The sequence below is a fragment of the Homo sapiens genome, chromosome 2 (genome assembly GCF_000001405.40).
Source record: "Homo sapiens chromosome 2, GRCh38.p14 Primary Assembly".
NCBI lineage: Eukaryota > Metazoa > Chordata > Mammalia > Primates > Hominidae > Homo > Homo sapiens.
The window spans coordinates 315808-337787 of NC_000002.12; the positions used below are offsets into that span (position 1 = coordinate 315808).

Below are 21980 nucleotides of genomic sequence, written 5' to 3' on the forward strand. Positions count from 1 at the left end.
CCCTCCTGTCTTCTGGTCCCCTGTCCTGGAGGCATCTCACTGCCACCAGGAAGCTTCTCTGGGTGTGGGGGGGCAGTGGCCCCTGGACAGCTGACTTGTCAGGCTTAGAGGTTGCTTTGGTTTTGGCTTTTAGTGTATTTGTTCTTGGATATGGTTTGGCTCTGTGTCCCCACTCAAATCTCATCTTGTAGCTCCCATAATCCTCACGTGTGTGGAAGGACCTGGTGGGAGATGATTGAATCACAGGGGTGGGTCTCTCCCATGCTGTTCTCATGGTAGTGAATGGGTCTCACGAGATCTGATGGCTTTAAAAACGGGAGTTTCCATGCACAGCTCTCTCTTTGCCTGCTGCCATCCACGTATGACGTGATTTGCTCCTCCTGGCCTTCTGCCATGTTTGGAGGCCTCCCCAGCCACGTGGAACTGTGAGTCCAATTAAACCTCTTTCTTTTGTAAATTGTCCAGTCTTGGGTATGTCTTTATCAGCAGCATGAAAACAGACTAATACAGTTTCTACATGCATTTATTTAACACTTAACTAATTTTCTCACTTGGTCTTCATGAAACAGGTGTCTTTGAATTGAGGAGAGGAGAAAGAAGAGGAATGATTTTTTAAAAACCATAAAACAGAGGTTACCCAGTGCCTTCAAGACTAAACTTTATTATAGTTTCCACAGCAAGTAGCTGGAGAAAGTGCAACCAAGGCTGCAAAGTGGACAGCCGTGCAGTGCGCAGGGTGCGGGAAGGCAGAGGGGTGGCCCCGTGGCCCCTCAGCCCAGGAGTCTCGAGCCAGTGGCTCTTGGGGCTGTGGGTTGAAAACAGGCCAGCAGCTTCTAGCACGTCCCTCGCGGTGTTCTTCACCTTCTCCCAAGAATGCATCCCTCGCAATGCTCTCTCGTGTTCTCTTGAGGATACGCGGCTTTTGGCCATGGCAGCAGGTCAGTGCCCACAGGCTAGGATGCCAGCAAGCACCTGGGGGGCTGTGGGGTCAGCAAAGCTGTGTGGTGAGACTGGAATGCACCTACTGTGTTTCTGATAGACTGCTCTGTTTAGCTGAATGTTTGAAACATGGCAGATACTCAATAAATACTTTTAATGGTTAAATCAATTCATTTACTTCATTTGACCAAGAGTGGAAATTTTAAACAGGACATTGGGGAAAATTTTCCATCAGAAAGGTTTTTAATTATCTTTAAATCAAAATGGTTTACTTAGGTGATATTGAAGGCCCTGTCTTAACACAAAAAGCTATTTAAACAGTGTTACAATGGTTATTGCAGAAAGACTGTTCAGAAGAGCCTCATTAATAAAAATAGCAGTTAATATTCCGAGAGGAAGATTCTCTTATTAGGACAACCAGCAAGCACTCACCAAAAGACAGGGTAGGCCCAGAGTGTGTCTATTTGTTATGGGGACCCAGACAGTGTTTCCTGTATGAAAACTGAATAGCGCTTGTAACTTAGGGCATATGCTTTGCATATTATGGAATAGAGTTCAGATGGGATTTTTGTCTCATTGCTGAATAGATGGTTATGGGGCGGAAATAGGGGGTGCATGAGGGTCACCGCCCACCTTGGTCTGAGAGCATCCTCGGAAACTTGAATGTAGGTGGCCTGAGGGAGGCCTGGATGGTCCTGAGCTGCCCGGCATGGGCCAGTGTGGCTGAAACAAGTGATAAGAAATTTAATTTAACTCCCTGAATAGTGGAAAATGGACGAGTTTTGTCGAGCTGAGTCAGGGAGGAGTGTTGTAGGAGGCGGCGCTTGAGCGGCGAGAGAGATGCAGACTCGTTTCCTGAGCGCGGTGGAGCCGGGTCTTGACCCAGCGGCTCTGCACAGCTCGCCTCATTCAAGGCAGGTTTTGGTCCCAGCTGTTCCACTAATTAGCACATGACCCCGGCAGGCAGCATGACCTCCTTGACCTCTGTCCTGTAGGACCCCTGCAGGCTCCGTGCAAATTCAGTTAGAATGACTCACCATTCTCCCAAGTAAATGGTATTTTTCACTTTTTGGCAAAACCGTTTTCTCTTGTACAGTCAGAGCTGTCAGCCCACACAAAAGAGGAAAGTCTGAGGCTTTAGTTTGATGAACACATTTATATGATGGGACGAACATCAGAGCCCGCAGCTCTCGGCCCTGCTGGTGGCAGAGGCTTTGTACTGTGTGACAATGACCTGGATATGGAAGCAGAAGGGAGCTTCTAAGGACCGGAAGCTGAGAGTCTGTCTCCTGTCCCGGCCCGGACACTGGGGTTCAGGTAAGAGGGTGGAAGGACATTGGCCAGGTCAGGGCTGCCGCGATGGTGCTGTGATGGTTACGGCTGCATCAGGGTCTGGCAGGAGCTGGGCTTCGCCTGGAGGCTCCCAGCTTCTCACAGCCCCTTGCACCAGCTTTCAACAGGGGGATTGCAGGAGAAACACTTGATGAGTCAGAGACGGGATGTGGTGTCAGGGTGACACACACACTTTCTCAGTTTCAGGAGAACTTGTCTGTCATTTTGGCAAAAAGTTTTTCTGTGTTTCTAAAGAGACTGGTTCTTTCTTGTTATCCCCGAGGATCCAGTTCCTGTTGCCCTGCAGCTAATCAGCTTCACCAGACATGGACCTCCAAGCTTAGGGATGCATGAATCTGAAATCCAAGCCATGGTTGTAATAGTGATAATATGAGGAAAAACTAAGAAACCAGATTTTCACATTGCTTTCGGAATGGAGCAACAAGCAGATGCTTGTACAATCTGGTGTCAGCCAAAAAAGAGCCTGTTTCAATAAGCAGAAATAATAAAATACTGAATTATCCCTCTTTTTGAAAAAGAACTAACCAGTTACAGTGCAATATCAGAACACGTTTATTCACTTGCTCTCAATAAACGCGAGTGTGAATGTGAGTGAAGGCGGTGAGCTTCGCTGCTGAGCCCACGTGGCTGAGTGGCGAGGGAGGCCGGCAAAGATGTGCCCTCGTGTGTCCACATTTTAGGAACACAGGAGACAGGCCTCGCTGCCCACGTTCCCCTGCTAGTAGAAGACATCTGCTGGGCATGTGTGTGTGTGTGTGTGTGGTTGTGTGTGTGCGGGTGTGTGTGCACGGGTGTGCATGTGTGCGGGTGTGTGTGCGGGCACGTGTGCAGGCGTGCGTGCAGGCGTGTGTGCAGGCGTGTGTGCATGGGTGTGTGTGCGTGTCGTGTGTGGCCCTGTGTGTGCGGGCGTGTGTGTGGGCGTGTGTGTGTGGGCGTGTGTGGGCACGTGAGTGTGGGCATGTGTGTGCGGGCATGTGAGTGGGCGTGTGAGTGTGTCTGTGTGTGCGCACAGGCGTGTGTGCGGCTGTGTGCGTGGGCACGTGTGTGGGCGTGTGTGTGGGCATGTGTGTGGGCGTATGTGTGTGGGCGTGTGTGGGCGTGTGTGTGTCGTGTGTGCACAGGCATGTGTGCGGCCGTGTGTGTGTGGACACGTGTGTGTGGGTGTGTGCGGAAACGTGTGGGGGCACGTGTGTGTGGGCACGTGTGTGCCTGGGCACGTGTATGCGGGTGTGTGTGTGTGGGCGTGTGTGCGGATGTGTGTGTGGGTGTGTGTGGGTGTGTGCGTGGGTGTGTGCAGGCGTGTGTGCAGGCACGTGTGTGCGGGTGTGTGGGGGTGTGTGCGCGGGTGTGTGCAGGCGTGTGTGCGGGCACGTGTGTGTGTGGGCGTGTGTGCAGGCAGAAAGCACCAAGATGTAAACAGCTGGCGCTCACTTGTGCACCACCAAAGCTAGAATGTTTCATCTCCCCTGGTGGCTTAGTAAGTGACAGAACAGCACCAAGATGTAAACAGCCGGTGCTATGCTTGCAGGGAGGCTGGAGGGGTACAGCCACTCCCCACACCTGCCACAGGGTTGCTTGATTTGAGCCGGCACATCCGGGGCCCACACCCCCTTCACCTTGGACCTCACGTGCAGTCAACGCAGCATGTGCTCATTAGGAAACGGAGATTAGAATGCGGGTTCCATTTTAGATTGGACTTGACACTTCAAACATCCTGAAGAAGTTGTTGTCTAAGGGTGCTGTGCGGTGGGACTGAGCTTTTAATTAAAGGCAGGTGGGGTCACCGCCTCCTTCATGTTCAAAGTTCTCAGCTACACAGTGGAGGAGGAGAGCTCAGGGAAGGAAAACTTTTAGTGTAGTTTTTTTTTTTTTTTTTTTTTTTGAGACAGGGTCTCACTCTCTCGCCTAGGCTAGAGTGCAGTGGTGTGGTCACAGCTCACTGCTAAGTTTTTAAGAGGTAAATTTCCGGTGGGAACTCCTGATCCATGCTGGTTACGGCAGGACCTAGAGCCTGGGATGCTCTTCCTGGGTTTAGGATTCAGCGAGCAAGGCCTGGTCTGGAGGAAAAGCGCCAGGCAGTGCCGTGGTGACTCCAGGGAGGGGCTGGCCACGTAGAGGTGTGCTGAGAAACTGTCTACCGCACCGCTTTGTACCTTTCATTCCATCCATGGATATATTTTAAAAGTTTGATTGTTATTTTTTTTTTATAAAAGAAAGAAAAAAGAATTAGCAAGCCTTTAGTAATAGGAATCCCAACTCTTTTCTATAAACTTGGGCCACTCTTTCTCTTCCCCCATTTATCATCACGTAAAATAAAGAAACAAAAGCAGAAAACATTTTTTCCCTAGGCTTCTACATCTCTGCTCCAACTTGGTTTGCCTGGTGGGCCTGGGGCACTGCGTCTGTATTCCTGGATGAGCAGGTGCCTCCTGACTTCACAGAGTGATGCCAGCTGCCATGGGCTGCTCCCCACATCCTCTCTTCATCTCTGAGCGCTTTTCACAGGGAGGTTTCATGCTTTCACCCCAGTCAATGGGGCTCATGCTTTCGCCCCAGTCAAACCTAGCCTGCTGGTCCTGGGTGCAATGTGACATCTGAATTGTACCTGCCTGGTTGTAGGTACCAACTAATGGATGCTGATCTTGACCACATCCTTCTCGGAAGTGGCTCTGGAGAGGCTGCTGTGGAAATTGTCATCAGGTGATGTGAGGTTAGTCACAATGGGCGATCAAAACTGTTGCTGGCTTAGACCCATATTCATCTCTTAAGCCTGTCAATTCAGAAGCTCTGCACATTGCTGAGAAAGGCAAAGGCCACAGCAAGAGAGAAAAAGACTGGGGAGAGAAAACCTCTAGACATTCAGGTCTTCCTGACAGCCAGTGCGAGGTAGCCCATGTGGAGATGCTCTGTCCTGCAGCACAGATGTCAGCTTCCGCTCCATCTGCAGTGACGGGGACCATGTCTGCAGCTGGAGCCATGGACCAGGCTAAATGGGATAGATTTCCACTCAGCCCCGAGCCCTCAACAGACAAGGATCCCATCTCACTTCTCATTTTTCTGGTGACCAGCACAGCCCGAGACACACAGATATATTATCTGCGGGTGTGGATAATGAACCCCAGTTACACAGCATTGAAAGCCCAGGGTCGTGCTCACTCGTGGATGCTGGATAATGAATCTCAGTGAAATGACCCTGAAAGCCCAGGGTCCCGCTCACCCGTGGGTGCTGGATAATGAACCCCAGTGACATGGACCCAAAAGCCCAGAGCTCTATCGGAGTCACAGAGTCCCTGCAACTGGGAAATCACCCAGCGCTGACGTTTTAGGCAAGAGTTGAGACAATTCATGAGGTTCCATGGCCTACGTAATAATACTTTTGGTAGAACATTTTAACCTATATTTATAGACAATCTGATAGCCATGCCACAAAAGAAATTTAAAAGTATATTAAGCATCTAAAATAATATTAATGTGTAGACATTAAAACACACTTACTTTGGATTTGAAAAGATAAGGTAAAATAAGTTGCATAAAAGTCTCATTCAGGCGATACATACCAATACTTACACCATTTGCTTTCAGGGAAGTGTGCTCTGCCCCCTGTGTGGATGCCTGTGTCCTGTGTGTGGCTGGAGTAGGACTTGGCTTGTGGGTGATCACAGAGACGGAGACTGAGAAGCAGATCGATCCTAGCTTTGCTACTGACAAAAAGCATGGGTAAATCACTGTTCTCTACAGTTCTTGAATCCCACAGGTGAAAGATGGAAATGTGTGTACAGGTTCCACCCACTCCACCTATGGCAAATCATGCAAAAAGGTCAACTGTGATGTATAAGGTCATTTTTTACCATACTCATCTGCGATGTCTGGCCAGGCATAAAGAGAGGCTTTTTTGTCCCCAGATAGAAGGAAGCCATGGATGGCAGAGGATGCGCTCAGGGGGACAGAAGGATGTGAGTGGGGCAGGTGGGGAGGAGCAGGAGGGATGTGGCTTTGGAGTCAGAATCCCAGAGTTGTATTCAGACTATGTGACCCTAGGCAAGTTTTACATTTCAGCTTCCTTGTCTGCAAAACAGGAACAAGAGTCCCTATCATGTAGGGTAATTGTGTACATGAAGTTAGCTCATAAATGAAAAATGTTTAACCTGGTGTCTGACCTAAAGGAACAATTGGTAGTAATTTATCCTCTTTTCCAATGCAGCAGGTAGTGTGGTGTTTCTCTTTCAGGCTAGTAGCCGTGCCATAAAATAAATTTAAAAGTATATTAAGCATCTAAAGTAATATTAATGTTTAGACATTAAAACACATTTACTTTGGATCTAAAAAGATTAGTATAAAACCTGTCTCAGTCATCACGCCCACCTTCACTTGCTGCACCTCCAGGAAGCAGCCGGGTGGCAAGAGAGGCGAGAGGAGCCATGTGACAAGGAGGGTGCGTGGGAAAGTGGGCCCATCCTGAGGATTGGCCATTATAAATACCGCTGTAAGACACAGGGCAGGCTCACCAGGACTGCCCTGCTCCAGGGAGCTCTTGGTCGAGAGCATGCAGAAGGAAGGGCGTTGCGCATGTGATACTTTGATTTTGAGATCACATGAAGCAAACAGATAGGGAAAACGTGTTGCTACTTTGGGAAACTGGTGAGAAGGATGAGAATCTCAAGATGGAGTGGCAAACCTACTTTAAAGGGGTGATCAGCTATGGGAAGACTGTCTTCCTGCTGCAGGACCCTGCGGACCCTGCTGACACGCTCATGTTCCCTTCCCTTTTCTAAGCTACACCGGGCAGTGTAAACTCGCCACCCACACCTGGCCTGTCACCACTCATGTCACCGGCCTCCCAGGAACACTCCACTCAGCAGTCAGTTCTTTGAAGTCTCTAGATGCTTCAAGGCCAGACACTTGAGGGCCTTTTTGTTTGTTTGTCCCTTATAGCACTAGGTTTCTTCAGAAGTCGATTCCCACGAATTTCAACTAGAATTCTCAGGTTCTCTTCAACAAACTGTCCTTGGTGCTTTACAGAAAGAACCTGTGAGTCAGCTTCCCAGATGAGCATCTCAGTGACAATGATGGTGTCTCATGGCTCCTTCAGTTACGAACGGCACTGAGCTGTTCTGGACAGAGAGGGGTCGGCTCCTCCCAGGCAGCCTTCTGAGCCCTGAGGCAGGCTGGACACAACAGGCATTGAGAACAGAAACCTTTAGCGCTACAAGGAAACCTTAGAGACCTCTATTCTTTTTTGGAGTCTTCTTTTTTTTGTAGTTGTTGTTTTTGAGCAGGGTGTGGCAGGCAGACAGAGGCTCCGACGTGATCTCCTGCTCTGGTGCGGTGCTCATACCAATGCAGTGTGCTGTTTCTTTCTTTCTTTTTTTCACTTTTTAAAAATGTATTTATTTATTTGTGTGTATGTGTGTGCTCAGATTCTATTTTTTTTTTATTTCAATAGGTTTTTGGGGAATGGGTGGTGTTTGGTTACATGAATAAGTTCTTTAGTGGTGATTTCTGAGATTTGGGTGCACCCATCACCCAAGCCATGTACCCCATACCCAATGTGTAGTGTTTTATCCCTCACCCCCCTCCCACCCTTTCCCTCAGGTCACCAAAGTCCATTGTATCATTCTTATGCCTTTGCATCCTCATAGCTGAGCTCCCACTGATGAGTGAAAACAAACGATATTTGGTTTTCCATTTCTGGGTTACTTCACTTAGAATAATGGTCTCCAATTCCATCCAGATTGCTGCAAATGCCATTATTTCGTTCTTTTTTGTGACTGAATAGTATTCCATAATATATACACATATATACAACATTTTCTTTATCCACTCATTGATTGAGGGCATTTGGGCTGGTTCCATATTTTTGCAATTGCAAATTATGCTGTTATAAACATGCATGTACAAGTATCTTTTTCATATAATAACTTCTTTTCCTCTGGGTAGATACCCAGGAGTGGGATTGCTGGATCAAACTGTGGTTCTTTAAGGAATTTTAGTTCTTTAAGGTATTTTCACACTGTTTTCCATGGTGGTTGTACTAGTTTACATTCCTGCCAACAGTGTAAAACTGTTCCCTTTTTACCACATCCATGCCAACACCTATTATTTTTTTATTTTTTGATTATGGCCATTCTTGCAGAAGTAAGGTGGTATCTCATTGTGGTTTTGATTTGCATTTCCCTGATCATTGTGATGTTGAGCATTTTTTTCATATGTTTGTTGGCTATTTGTACATCTTCTTTTGAGAATTGTCTATTCATTTCCTTAGCCCACTTTTTGATGGGATTTTTTTTTCTTGCTGATTTGTTTGAGTTTGTTGTAGATTCTGGATATTAGTCCTTTGTCAGATGCATAGTTTGCAAAGATTTTCTCCCACCTGTGGGTTGGCTGTTTACTCTGCTTACTATTTCTTTTACTGTGCAGAAGCTTTTTAGTTTCATTAAGTCCCATCTATTTATCTTTGTTTTTGTTGCTTTTGCTTTTGGGTTCTTGGTCATTAAGTCTTTGCCTAAGTAAATGTCTAGAAGGGTTTTCCCAATGTTATCTTCTAGAAATCTTATAGTTTCAGTTCTTAGATTTAAGTCTTTGATCCATCTTTAGTTGATTTTTGTATAAGGTGAGAGATGAGGATCTGATTTCATTCTCCTACATGTGACTTGCCAATTATCCCAGCATCATTTGTTGAATAGAATATCCTTTCCCCACTTTATATTTTTGTTTTGTGGAAGATCAGTTGACTGTAAGCATTTGGCTTCATTTTTGGGTTCTCTGTTCTGATCCACTGGTCTATGTGTCTTTTTTTTTGTACCAGTACCGTGCTGTTTTAGTGATTTTGCTGAATTCATTTGCCAGTTCTAGGAGCTTTTTGGATGAGTCTTCAGGGTTTTCTAGGTATATGATCGTGTCATCAGCAAACAGCAACAGTGTGACTTCTTTTTTTCCGATTTGGATGCCCTTTATTTCTTTCTCTTGTCTAAGCTCTGGCTAAGACTTCTTGTGCTATGTTGAATAGAAGTGGTAAAAGTAGGCATCCTTGTCTTGTTCCAGTTCTCAGGGGAAATGCTTTCAACTTTTCCCCTTCCAGTATAATGTTGGCTGTGGGTTTGTCATAGACATATTTTATTATCTTAAGGTATGTAGCTTTTATGCTGATTTTGCTGTAGGTTTTAATCCTAAAGGAATGCTGGATTTTGTCAAATGCTTTTTCTGTGTCTATTGAGATGATCATGTGATTTTTGTTTTTAATTCTGTTTATGTGGTGTATCACATCTATTGACTTGTGGATGTTAAACCATCCCTGCATCTGTGGTATAAAATCCACTTGATCACAGTAAATTATCTTTTTGATATGCTGTTGGATTCAGTTAGCTAGTATTTTGTTGAGGATTTTTGCATCTATGTTCATCAGGGATATTGATCTGTTGTTTTCTTTTTTTGCTATGTCATTTCCTGCTTTTGGTACTAGGGTGACACTGGCTTCATAAAATGATTTAGGGAGGATTCTCTCTTTCTTTATCTTTTGGAATAATGTCAGTAGGATCGATACCAATTCTTTGAATGTCTGATATAATTCAGCTATGAATCCGTCTGGTCCTGGACTGTTTTTTGTTAGTAACTTTTTAATTACCATTTCAATCTTGCTGCTTGTTATTGGTCTATTCAGAGTTTCTATTTCCTCCTGGTTAAATCTAAGAGGGTTGTATATTTCCAGGAATTTATCCATCTCCTCTAGGTTTTCTAGTTTATGCATGTAAAGGTGTTTATAGTAGCCTTGAGTGATCTTTTGTATTTCTGTGGTATCGATTGTAACATCTCCCATTTCATTGCTAATTGAGCTTGTTAGGATCTTCTCTCTTCTTTTCTTGGTTAATCTCACTAATGGCCTGTCAATTTTATTTGTCTTTTCAAAGAACCAGCTTTTTGTTTCATTTACCTTTTGTATTTTTTTTTTTCAATATCATTTAGTTCTGTTCTGATCTTGGTTATATCTTTTCTTCTGCTGGTTTGGGTTTGGTTTGTTTTTGTTTCTCTAGCTCCTTGAGGCATGACCTTAGAATGCCTATTTGTGCTCTTTCAGACTTTTTGATGTAGGCCTTTAGTGCTATGAGCTTTCCTTTGAGTGCTGCAGTTGTGTCACTATTATTCAGTTCAAAGAATATTTTAATTTCCATCTTGATTTCATGGTTGATTCAATGATCATTTGGGAGCAGGTTATTTAATTTCCATACATTTGCATGGTTTTGAGGGTTCCTTTTCGAGTTGATTTTCAGTTTTATTCCACTGTGGTCTGAGATACTACTTGCTATAATTTTGATTTTCTTAAATTAGTTGAGACTTGTTTTGTGGCCTATCATATGGTCTATCTTGGAAAATGTTCCATGTGCTGATGAATAGAATGTATATTCTGCAGTTGTTGGGTAGAATGTTCCATAAATATCTGTTAAGTCCATTTCTTCTAGGATATAGTTTAAGTCCATTGTTTCTTTGTTGACTTTATGTCTTGATGATCTGTGTAGTGCTGTCAATGGAGTATTGAAGACCCCCACTATTATTTTGTTGCTATCTATCTCATCTCTTAGGTCTAGTAATAATTGTTTTATAAATTTGGGAGTTCCAGTGTTAGGTGCATGTATGTTTAGGATTGTGATATTTTTCTGTTGGACTAGTCCTTTTTATCATTATATAATGTCCTTCTTTGTCTTTTTAATTACTGTTGCTTTAATGTTTGTTTTGTCTGATACAAGAAGAGCTACTCTTGCTTGCTTTTGGTGTCTATTTGCCTGGAATATCTTTTTCCACCCCTTTACTTTAAGTTTATGTCAGCCTGATGTGTCAGGTGAGTCTCTTGAAGACAGCAGATGCTTGGTTGGTGAATTCTTATTCATTCTGCCATTCTGTATCTTTTAAGTGGAGCATTTAGGCCATTTACATTCAATGTTAGTATTGAGATGTGAGGTACTATTCTATTCGTTTTGCTATTTGTTGCCTCAATACCTGTTTTTTTTTTTTCCTCCATTCTGTTGTTGTTTTATAGGTCCTGTGAGATTTATGCTTTAAGGAGATTCTATTTTGGTGTATTTCAAGAATTTGTTTCATGACTTAGAGCTCCTTTTATCAGTTCTCATACTGCTGGTGTGGTAGTGGCGAATTCTCTCAGCATTTGTTTGTCTGAAAAAGACTGTATCTTTCCTTCATTTATGAAGCTTAGTTCTGCTGGATACAAAATTCTTGGTTGATAATTGTTTTGTTTAAGGAGGCTAGAGATAGGACCCCAATCCTTTCTATAATAGCTTGTAGGGTTTCTCCTAAGAAATCTGCTGTTATTCTGATATGGTTTCTTTTGCAGGTTACCTGATACTTTTGCTTCACAGCTCTTAAGATTCTTTCTTTCATCTTGACTCTAGATAACCTGATGACTACGTGCCTAGATAATGATCTTTTTGTGATGAGGTTCCCAGGTGTTATTTGAGCTTCCTATATTTGGATGTCTAGGTCTCTAGCAAGGCTGGGGAAGTTTTCCTTGATTATTCCCTCAAATATGTTTTCCAAACATTTAGATTTCTCTTCTCCCTCAGGAACACCAATTATTCTTAGGTTTGGTTGTTTAATATAATCCCAAACTTCTTGGAGACTGTGTTCATTTAAAAAATTTTTTGTCTTTGTCTTTGTTGGATTGGGTTAATTTAAATGTCTTGCCTTCAAGCTCTGAAGTTCTTTCTTCTACTTGTTCAATTCTATTGCCAAGACTTTCCAGTGCATTTTGCAATCCTCTGTGTCTTTCATTTCCAGAAGTTGTGATTGTTTTTTTATTTATGCTATCTATTTCACTGGAGAATTTTTCATTCATATCCTGTATCTTTTTTTAAAAAAATTTATTTAAGTTGGACTTCACCTTTCTCTGGTGCCTCCTTGATTGGCTTAATAGTCGACTTTCTGAATTCTTTTTTTGGTGATTCAGAGATTTCATCTTGGTTTGGATCCGTTGCTTGGTGAGGTAGTGTGATCTTTTGGAGCTGTTAAAGAACCTTGCTTTGTCATATTACCGGAATTGTTTTTCTGGTTCCTTCTCATTTGGGTAGACTATGTCAGAGGGAAGATCTGGGACTCAAGGGCTACTGTACAGATTCTTTTGTCCTACAGGGTATTCTCTTGAGGTGGTGCTCTCCCCTTTTGCCTAGGGATGGGGCTTCCTGAGAGCTGAACTGAAGTGATTGTTATTTCACTTCTGGGTCTAGCCTCCCAGTGAAGTTACTGGGCTCTGGCTTGGTACTGCGGAGTGTCTGCAAAGAGCCCTGTGATGTGATCTGTCTTCAGGTCTCTCAGCCATGGATACCAGCACCTGCTCCAGTGGAGGTAGCAGGGGGCTGAAGTGGGCTCTGTGAGGGGTCCTTGGTTGTATTTTTGTTAAGTGTGCTGGTTGTGTGTTGGTTGGCCTCCGTCAAGGAGGTGGTGCTTTCAAGAGCACATCAGCTGTGGTAGTATAGGGAAGATCAGGTGGTGGATGGAGCCATAGAGAGCCCAAGATATTATGTCCTTTTTCTATGGCTACCAGGGCTGGTAGAGAAAGACCATCACGTGGGGGCAGAGTTAGGCATGTCTGAGCTCAGACTCTTCTTGGGCGGGGTTTGCTGTGGCTTCTGTGGGGGACAGGGGTGTGGTTCCCAGGCCAATGGAGTTATGTTCCCAGGGGCCATCTCTGTTGTATCACACAGGCTGCCATGGAGGTGGGTGAATGCCAGCAGCCAAGCCTCACCCAGCTTTTACACAGCCCACAGCTTGAAAGGCTAGTCTCACTCACGCTGTGCCTCACAAAAGCACTGAGTTTATTTCTAGGCAGCTGGTGAGCAGGGCTGAGAACTTGCCCCAGGCTACAAGCCTCCCGCTGAGAAAGCAAGCAGACTCACAGTTCCTCAGATGTTCCATGGAGCCTGCAGCAGCAATCCACCTCCTTTAAAGAGTCTGTGGATTCTCTCGGCTTTCTTGGTATGTTTTTGCAGTAGTTCTTGGAGCAAAAGTTCACAATGTGGGTCTCCACATGCTGTTCTGTTCATCCGAGTGGGAGCTGCAAGTTAATCCTGCCTCCTGTCTGCCATTTTTTTTTATCTCCTCCGCTTCTGTCTTCCTCCTTCCATCCGTGTGGTGTTTCTACAAAATCTTGATAGTGCTGGTGTGAAAAAGCCAACTTATTTCAGAAATTTATAGACATTTGTGTGAAGGATAAAGTGTTTCATTTCTGTCCTCTTCATGTCCCAGGGCCCACATTTGTTTTTTATGTCTTTTGTCATTCTCTACATTTTGGGAGAAAATGGAGGGAAAGAAGGATATGCAGAGGAGAGTAAGCCACATGACCAGATGAGTGGACATCAGTGTCAGAGAACAGCAACTGCTGAGCTCAGAGAGAGCGTGCTGTCAGGAAACATCTTTCCTTTAGATGGAGCTTTTGTGTTCTTGTGTGGATTTTTTGGTTAAGCATGGGTTCCCAGGCTCTCTAAGAGTTTTGCAGATTGGCATTTGGTACCTAGAACAAGATTCTAAAAATGGTTTAAACTGATCCTGTGCAGCTAGGCGACATTGTCTCTACCTTCAGTCCTTCTATGCAGGTCTCTAGACTTTACAGGGTTATATAAATAATTAGAATACCTAAAACAATTATTGGGTGTTTTAGAATCTATGAGGGTAAATATGAAAATGAATCTCTGCTTGCTGAACTTAGCTTAAGTTCTGAAGTTCCATAGTTATGCCCAACAGCTATCATGAGAAGAAGATGGATGAAGAGATATTTCTTCATAGAGCCAAATTGGCTGGCAAAGATTACTTATAGGCCTCTGTCAACTTCTCCACCCCTGTCTTGCAACATACAGCTCAATGTTTCCAGATGTACCAAGTTTCATGGTTTCTTATTTTCCACACCCTTGGGATGCCTCCTGCTGAACCTGGAACTCTCTCTTGCTATGTCAGGTCCAAGAGAAACATATCAAAAGTGGAGTGATGGTGTGGGATTGGTGGCATGTATTAAGTATCTTTGCCACGTCTATCATGATATTGTTTTAAAAGATGAGAGTCATGAAGGTCCCATGAACACATTTTGAGCTGGTAATTTTTGAACTCCCATGACTCAAACCATATCTGTTTGTTTTTGTTTAATTTTCCAAGTTTTATATAGAGTTCCCATAAATAAAACATTGTGCTTTGAGAATGCGAGGGCATGAAAACAAATATAGTTTAGCCAACAGCAATACCTCATATTCTGGTGTTTGGAGCTGTTTCTCAGGCACCCTGAATTTTATAGTAAAAAATTATTCTGGGGCTCCAAATATGTTAGTAACATGGAAATTTATATATACATATACATATATACATATATATATATAAAATAAAATGATAAATGCATTTTTGTGCAAAATCTTGTTTTATGCCATAATCAGCAAGAACATGGGACTCTCACCAGTATTGATAGCATGTGACTGCAGTTGAGTGCCCTCTGCACTGGCTGTGGCAAAGTTCTCAGTTTATATCCTGATTTATCTGTAGGATGGAAGTAAGCTTGAGAGCTAGTTTTTCTCATCAGTGACATATATTGACGACAATGTGCCCATGACCTATATCCACAAACTTACTATGTTTAGACATATTTGTGGGTTGATGACCAGCAACACTTTTTAAAGGGTCTCATTCTTTCCCTGGAATATTTTCAGGATGACCATATATAAATATACAAGTATTCCCATGTATTTTGATTTTCAGGGCCATTAATTCTTAGCAACACTATAGTCCCTACCTAAGTACTGATTCAATTGTAGACATGAGTGAGAGTTTTGGTTGCCTAGGTAAGGTGCTATAATTGATAAAATATTGAAGATACGTTTTTGAAAGGATGGGAAAGGTAAAGGATGAGTAAATATAGTAAAAGAAAAATAGGGCTCCTAATTATTAGAATGAAAGCTTAGGTAGGTAAAGTGTGATGATCTGAGAAAACATGTCATCTCTCAAATATGGGAAGAAGTCTTAGACATCAAACAATCTCAAACAATCTCAAATCATCCACTAAGTGAAATTTAGGAAAAATTTTTTTTAATCAAAAAGTGGGCTTGACAGATTTTTTGATAGATCCATAATGTGGGAAATTTATCAGGCAAAAAAAAATTTGGACTAAATTAGAGGTGGGATAATCAGAGGAAAGTATAATTAAATTAGTCAATTAATTGAACAGTAGTCAGTGAGATAGTGTATCAGCTAATTTTGGCTAGGTAACAAATGACTTCAAAACTTAGTAGTTAAAATAATAGTCATTGTATTCAGCTCACAATTATGTAGGTTAGACAGGTGGTTCTTCGGCCACTCTCTGGAGGGCTCTTTCATTCAGTGGATAGTTGGCAGGTCTGTTGGTGGCTGGGGGCAGCTGATGCATGATGTAGGATGGCCTCACTTAAGAGTCTGGTGTTTGGCAGGGTGTTGGCCAGGGGTTAGCTAATTATTAGCTGAGGTTTTTTATTTATTCACCATCTGTTTTTTCACTTATCAAGATAGCTTAGCTTCATTCGCATGCCAGTCTTAAGATTCCAAGTTGGAAACCCAACTATATCAATAATTATGGTAATTGTAAATGGGCCAAATATTACAATTAAATTGCAGAGATTGTCAGACTGAATAAAAATGTAAGACTTAATTACATGTTGCCTGCAAGAGACTTTAAATATAAAGAAACATAAGTTGAAAGTAAAATGATGAAAAAAAAATACCAGGCAATCAATATAAGAAAGTTAAATTGGCTATATTAGTACCAGACAATGTAGACTTAAATGCAGGAATTATTACAAGAAATAAAAAGGAGTGTTTAATGGTTATAAAAACTTCAAGTTTGTAGGAAGACCAAATAATCATTAGTGATGTAGGTAGCTAAATATAGTGCCTCAAAATAAATGAAAGAAACATGATAGAATGAATAGGAGAAAAAGCCAAATACAAAATTATGGTGAAGATTTTTAACATCGTTTCTCAGAAATTGATACAACTGCCCCCAAATCTAGAAAACACCCAAATTCTTGGAAATTAAATAAACACATTTTTAATAACTCACGGGAAAAGGATGAAAGCCCTAGAAACATTTTTACAAATATTTGAACTCTATGAAAATAAACATAGCAATACCAGTGTTTATAAGAAAATCCAGAGCTTTTAATGCTGATATTAGAAAATAACAATAAATGTATTCTATATTTCCACCTAAGGAACTAGAAAAAGAAAAAAATTAAACCCAAATAAATAGAATAAGATAAATAATAAAGAGCTGAAATAAGTAAAATAGAGAAATGTAAACAATAAAGACAATTATAAATACTGTAAGTTGGTTCTTTGAACAGAAAAAAAAATACAAGCCTCTAGAAATACCAATCAAGAAAAATGGGAAAATGCAAACTTACTATCATCAGAAATAAAAAAGCAGATCTCACTGCAATTTCTACAAAAATTTAGAAATATTATGAGGGAATATTATGAACAAAATTATTCCAGTAAATTTGATAACTTGGAGAAAATGGAGAAATTCCTTGACATACAACTTAATAAAAATGGCACAAAAATATGTTAAAAATTTGAATAACCATATGTCTAGTAAAAAATTTGAACCTTTGTATTAAAGGATATTGAAGCTTATAAAAACAACCTTGCCATAAAGATGCTTTGAGTCTAGGTGGCGCTATCTAGAATAATGCTGGAAGGAATAACAGAAACTTAAACTCTGACAGAGTAGAGGACAGTAGAGGACACGTTGCAGTACATTCTGTGAGCCCACGCAGCCCTGATACCAAACATGACAAAGGCATTATTCTCCAGGAACATAATCTCAAAAGCCTTGTAACAAAATACTGGCAAATAAAAGGATAAAAGATCATTATCAAGTGGGATATATCCCAGGAATACAAGGTTGATTTAATATTTGAAAATCTATCAGTAAAAATCAGTATGTTAACAGAATAAAGAAGAAAAATGATACGATCATTGTAATATATGTAGAAAATATTTGATGACATTAAACATGCATTCATGTTAAAGAAAACTTTCAGCAAGAGTAAACATAGAATAAAAGGAAACATCCTTAATCTGTTAATGGGCATCTATGAAAAACCTACAGCTCATTTAATGGTGAAATGCTGAAGGCTTTCCTCCTACAGTCAGGAATGAGACAAAGATATTCTTTCTGATTATGTCAAGTCAACATTGAACCAGAGCTTTTAGTCAGTGCAATCACACAGGAAAAAGAAATAAAAAGGTATATAGATTGAGAAGAAAGAAGCAAAACTGTCTTTGCTCACAGTGTCACAATTATTTATGCAAAAAATTCTAAGGAATATACAAAATAACTATGAGAATTAGTAAGTGAATTTAGCAAGGCTATAAGACACAAAATAAATATAAAAATTGATGCTTCCATATGATAGCATCAATCTTGTGGAAAATGAGATTAAATGTTATTTCTAATAGAATGAAAAAACAAAGTATTTAGGAGCATATTTTATAAAAATGAGCAAAACATATATAGCGAAATTAAAGGAGACCTAAGCAAATGGAGATAGAACTATTTTCATTAATTTAGACATTCAATCTTGTTAAGAATTCAGATATCCACAAATAGATTTTTAGATTCAATGCAACCCCAATCAAAATCTCAACAGTATGCTTTTGAAAAAAATTACAAGCTAAATCTAAAATTTATGTGGAATGCAAAGGACTCAGAATAACCCAAATACTTCTGATAAGGAAGAACAAAACAGCAGGACACAATCTACCTAATTTCAATACTTACTATAGAACTCCAGCAATAAAGACAGTGTACACCAGTTAGAATGGCAATCATTAAAAAGTCAGGAAACAACAGGTGCTGGAGAGGATATGGAGAAATAGGAACACTTTTACACTGTTGGTGGGACTATAAACTAGTTCAAACATTGTGGAAGTCAGTGTGGCGATTCCTCAGGGATCTAGAACTAGAAATACCATTTGACCCAGCCATCCCATTACTGGGTATATACCCAAAGGACTATAAATCATGCTGCTATAAAGACACATGCACACGTATGTTTATTGCGGCATTATTCACAATAGCAAAGACTTGGAACGAACCCAAATGTCCAACAATGATAGACTGGATTAACAAAATGTGGCACATATACACCATGAAATACTATGCAGCTATAAAAAATGATGAGTTCATGTCCTTTGTAGGGACATGGATGAAATTGGAAATCATCATTCTCAGTAAACTATCACAAGAACAAAAAACCAAACACCGCATATTCTCACTCATAGGTGGGAACTGAACAATGAGAACACATGGACACAGGAAGGGGAACATCACACTCTGGGGACTGTTGTGGGGTGGGGGGATGGGGGAGGGGGGAGGGATGGCAATGGGAGATATACGTAATGCTAGATGACGAGTCAGTGGGTGCAGCGCACCAGCAAGGCACATGTATACATATGTAACTAACCTGCACATTGTGCACATGTACCCTAAAACTTAAAGTACAATAATAATAAATTAAAAAAAAAGACAGTGTGATATTAGTACACACATGGACCATTCCATCAATGAAACAAGCAGAAGCACTGAATAGACACCCACATGGGAGGTAAATTTAATTCTGACAAAAGTTCTAGAGAAGTTAAATGGAGAAAGGAATATTTTCTTTTAGACGGTGCTGGAGTAACTGAAAGAAAACGTGGAGAAAAAGCAACCTGTATCCCTACTTCTCACTACACATGTAAATTATGGTTCATAGATTAATACAAAATATAAGCTATCACTATTAAGCTTCTAAAAGAAAACATAGGAGAATATTCTGGCAACCTTGGAGTAGGCAAAAGATTCTTACAGAGAACGAAATGAGGCATTTACCTAAGGAACAAATTGAAAAATTAAGCTGTATCAAAGTTAAAAATTCTTCTATTTAAAACAGATCATTAAGACAACACAAAAGCAAAACAGGCTTAGAGAAAATATTCATAATACACATATCATGCAAAACATTTCTGTAAAGAACATATAGAGCTCCAACAAACAAAAATAAATAAATACAAATGACTCAATGACTTATACATATATTCCACTAAAGAATATATTTGTGTTCAATAAAAACATTAAAATATCAAAAATATTAGATATGAGGGTAATGTAATTAATGTCAGCTGATAGCACTTTGCATAGTGTATACCATTTGCTAAGATTAAAAATTCAACCACACTGATTGTTGAGGTGGTTGCAAAGCACCTTAAACACTCACAGATGCTCAGGAAGGGCCATAGAACTTGCAAGCACTTTGGAAACGGGCATTTTCTCATTAAGGTAAAAATACACCTGCTCTATGACTCTTTTACTGCACTGATATTTACCCCAAAAGTATAAAAATAACCATCCACAAAAATACTTGTACAAGAATGTTTGTAGTAGCTTTACTCATAATTGCCAAAGACTTAACCAATCCAAGTACCCATCAATCTGAAAACAGATTTTAAAAAGATGATACAATCATACATACAGCAAAATACTACTGAGCAATATAAAGGAATTGCACACAACAACACAATCTGAAAAATATGGTCGGGAAAAAAAACCCAGGCATAAGAGTAAGTATTGCATGATTCTCTTGATAGGAAGTTTAAGAACAGACACTGTCTTGACAGGAACCAGAGCCTCAGTGTCTGCAGGAGTTGCTGGCTGTTTCCTGATGCAGTTGGAGCAGAATGGGATGTCCTGGGACAACAGAGATGTTTACCCATCTTGACTAGTGTGGTCATCTGAAGAATGGCCTCCAAAGACATCCTGAGAACCTGGGAATGTTGCATGGATGAAGGAATTTGCAAAAGTGATTAAGTTAAGGAGCTTGAAATTTGTGGATCATGCTGGGTTACCCCAGTGAGCTCTAAATGTAATCACATGTGTCTTTATGAAAGGGAGGCAGAGGGAGATTTGCAGACAGATGAGGAGGAAGATGAGAAAACAATGGACACAAGAAAGAAAAGGTGATGCAGTTCAGGGACCCAAGCCAATAAATGAGGTGACCTCCAGATGCTGGAGAAGGGAAGGAAGCAGATGGACTCTAGAGCCCCCAAAAGAAGCAGGGCTCTGCCATCACCTTGATTTTGTCCCAATGAAACCCATTGGTCATTTAGCTGCCAGAACTGTGTAAGCATAAATGTGTGTTCGTTTAAGCCATGAAATTTGCAGTAATTTGTTAAAGCTGCCATGGGAAACTAACACAACTGGAGTGGTAGTTCCGTGAATGCATGCATTCACCAAACCTTAACATGTACTCTTCGGATACTGGCATGATAGGTCCATGAATGCATATGTTCACCCACACACTAATATATACCCTTCAAATACTGGTATGATAGTTCTATGAATGCATGTGTTCACCACACACTAACATGTACCCTTCAGATACGGGCATGGTAGTGCCCTGAATACACGTGTTCACCAAACCCCAACATGTACCCTTCAGATACTGGCATGATAGTTCCATGAATCCATGTGTTCACCAAATCCCAACATGTACTCTTCAGATATGGACATGGTAGTTCCATGAATACATGTTTTCACCAAAAACCAACATGTACCCTTCAGATACTGGTATGATAGTTCCATGAATGCATATGTTCACCAAACTAAAATATGTACCTGATATGGTTTGGCTGTGTCCCCACCCAAATCTCATCTTGAATTGTAGCTCCCATAATCCTCACATGTTGTGGGAGGGTCCTGGTGGGAGGTAATTGAATCACAGGGGTGGATTTTTCCTGTGCTGTTCTCATGATAGTAAGTCTCACCAGATCCGATGGTTTTATAAAGGGCAGTTCCCCTGAACATGCTCTCTTGCCTGCTGTAATGTAAGACATGCTTTTGCTCTTCCTTCACCTTCTTGCCATGATTGTGAGGCATAGCCAGCCATGTTGAACTGTAAGTCAATTAAACCTCTTTCCTTTATAAATTACCCAGTCTCAGGTATTTCTTCACAGCAGTATGAAAATGGACTAATACAGTAAATTGGTACCGGGAGTGGGGTGCTGCTGTAAAGATACCCAAAAATGTGGAAGTGACTTTGGAACTGGGTAACAGGCAGAGGTTGGAAGAGTTTGGAAGGATCGGAAGAAGATAGGAAAATGTGGGAAAGTTTGGAACTTCCTAGAGACTTGGAGAGCTCAGAAGACAGGAAGATGTGGAAAACTTTGGAACTTCCTAGAGACTTATTGAATGGCTTTGACAAAAATGCTGATAGTGATATTGACAATAAAGTCCAGGCTGAGGTGGTCTCAGATGGAGATGAACAACTGTTGAGAACTGGAGTAAAGGTCACTCTTGCTGTGCTTTAGTGAAGAGACTGGTAGCATTTTGCCCTTGCCTTAGAGATCTGTGGAAATCTGAACTTGAGAGAGATGATTTAGTGTATCTGGTGGAAGAAATTTCTAAGCAGCAAAGAGTTTAAGGGGAAGCAGAGTATAAAACTTTGAAACATTTGCAGCCTGACGATGCAGTAGAAAAGAAACCCCATTGTCTGGGGAGAAATTCAAGCTGGCAGCAAAAATTTGCATAAGTTACAAGGAGCCAAAGGTTAACTACCAAGACAATGGGGAAAATGTCTCTTGGCATGTCGGACACCTTCACAGCAGCTCCTCTCATGACAGGAGTGGAGGCCTAG

The 21980-nt window shown here is 41.3% G+C and overlaps 1 long non-coding RNA gene across 1 annotated transcript; it reads left to right on the plus strand.

The window, feature by feature from the left end:
- The first annotated feature begins 476 nt into the window (after nt 1-476).
- Nucleotides 477-21247, plus strand: LINC01865 (long intergenic non-protein coding RNA 1865). The gene is made up of 4 exons (NR_146953.1): nt 477-938; nt 2036-2256; nt 5875-6009; nt 19966-21247. It is a non-coding gene; the product is annotated as a long intergenic non-protein coding RNA 1865 (long non-coding RNA).
- Nucleotides 21248-21980: the final 733 nt, after the last annotated feature.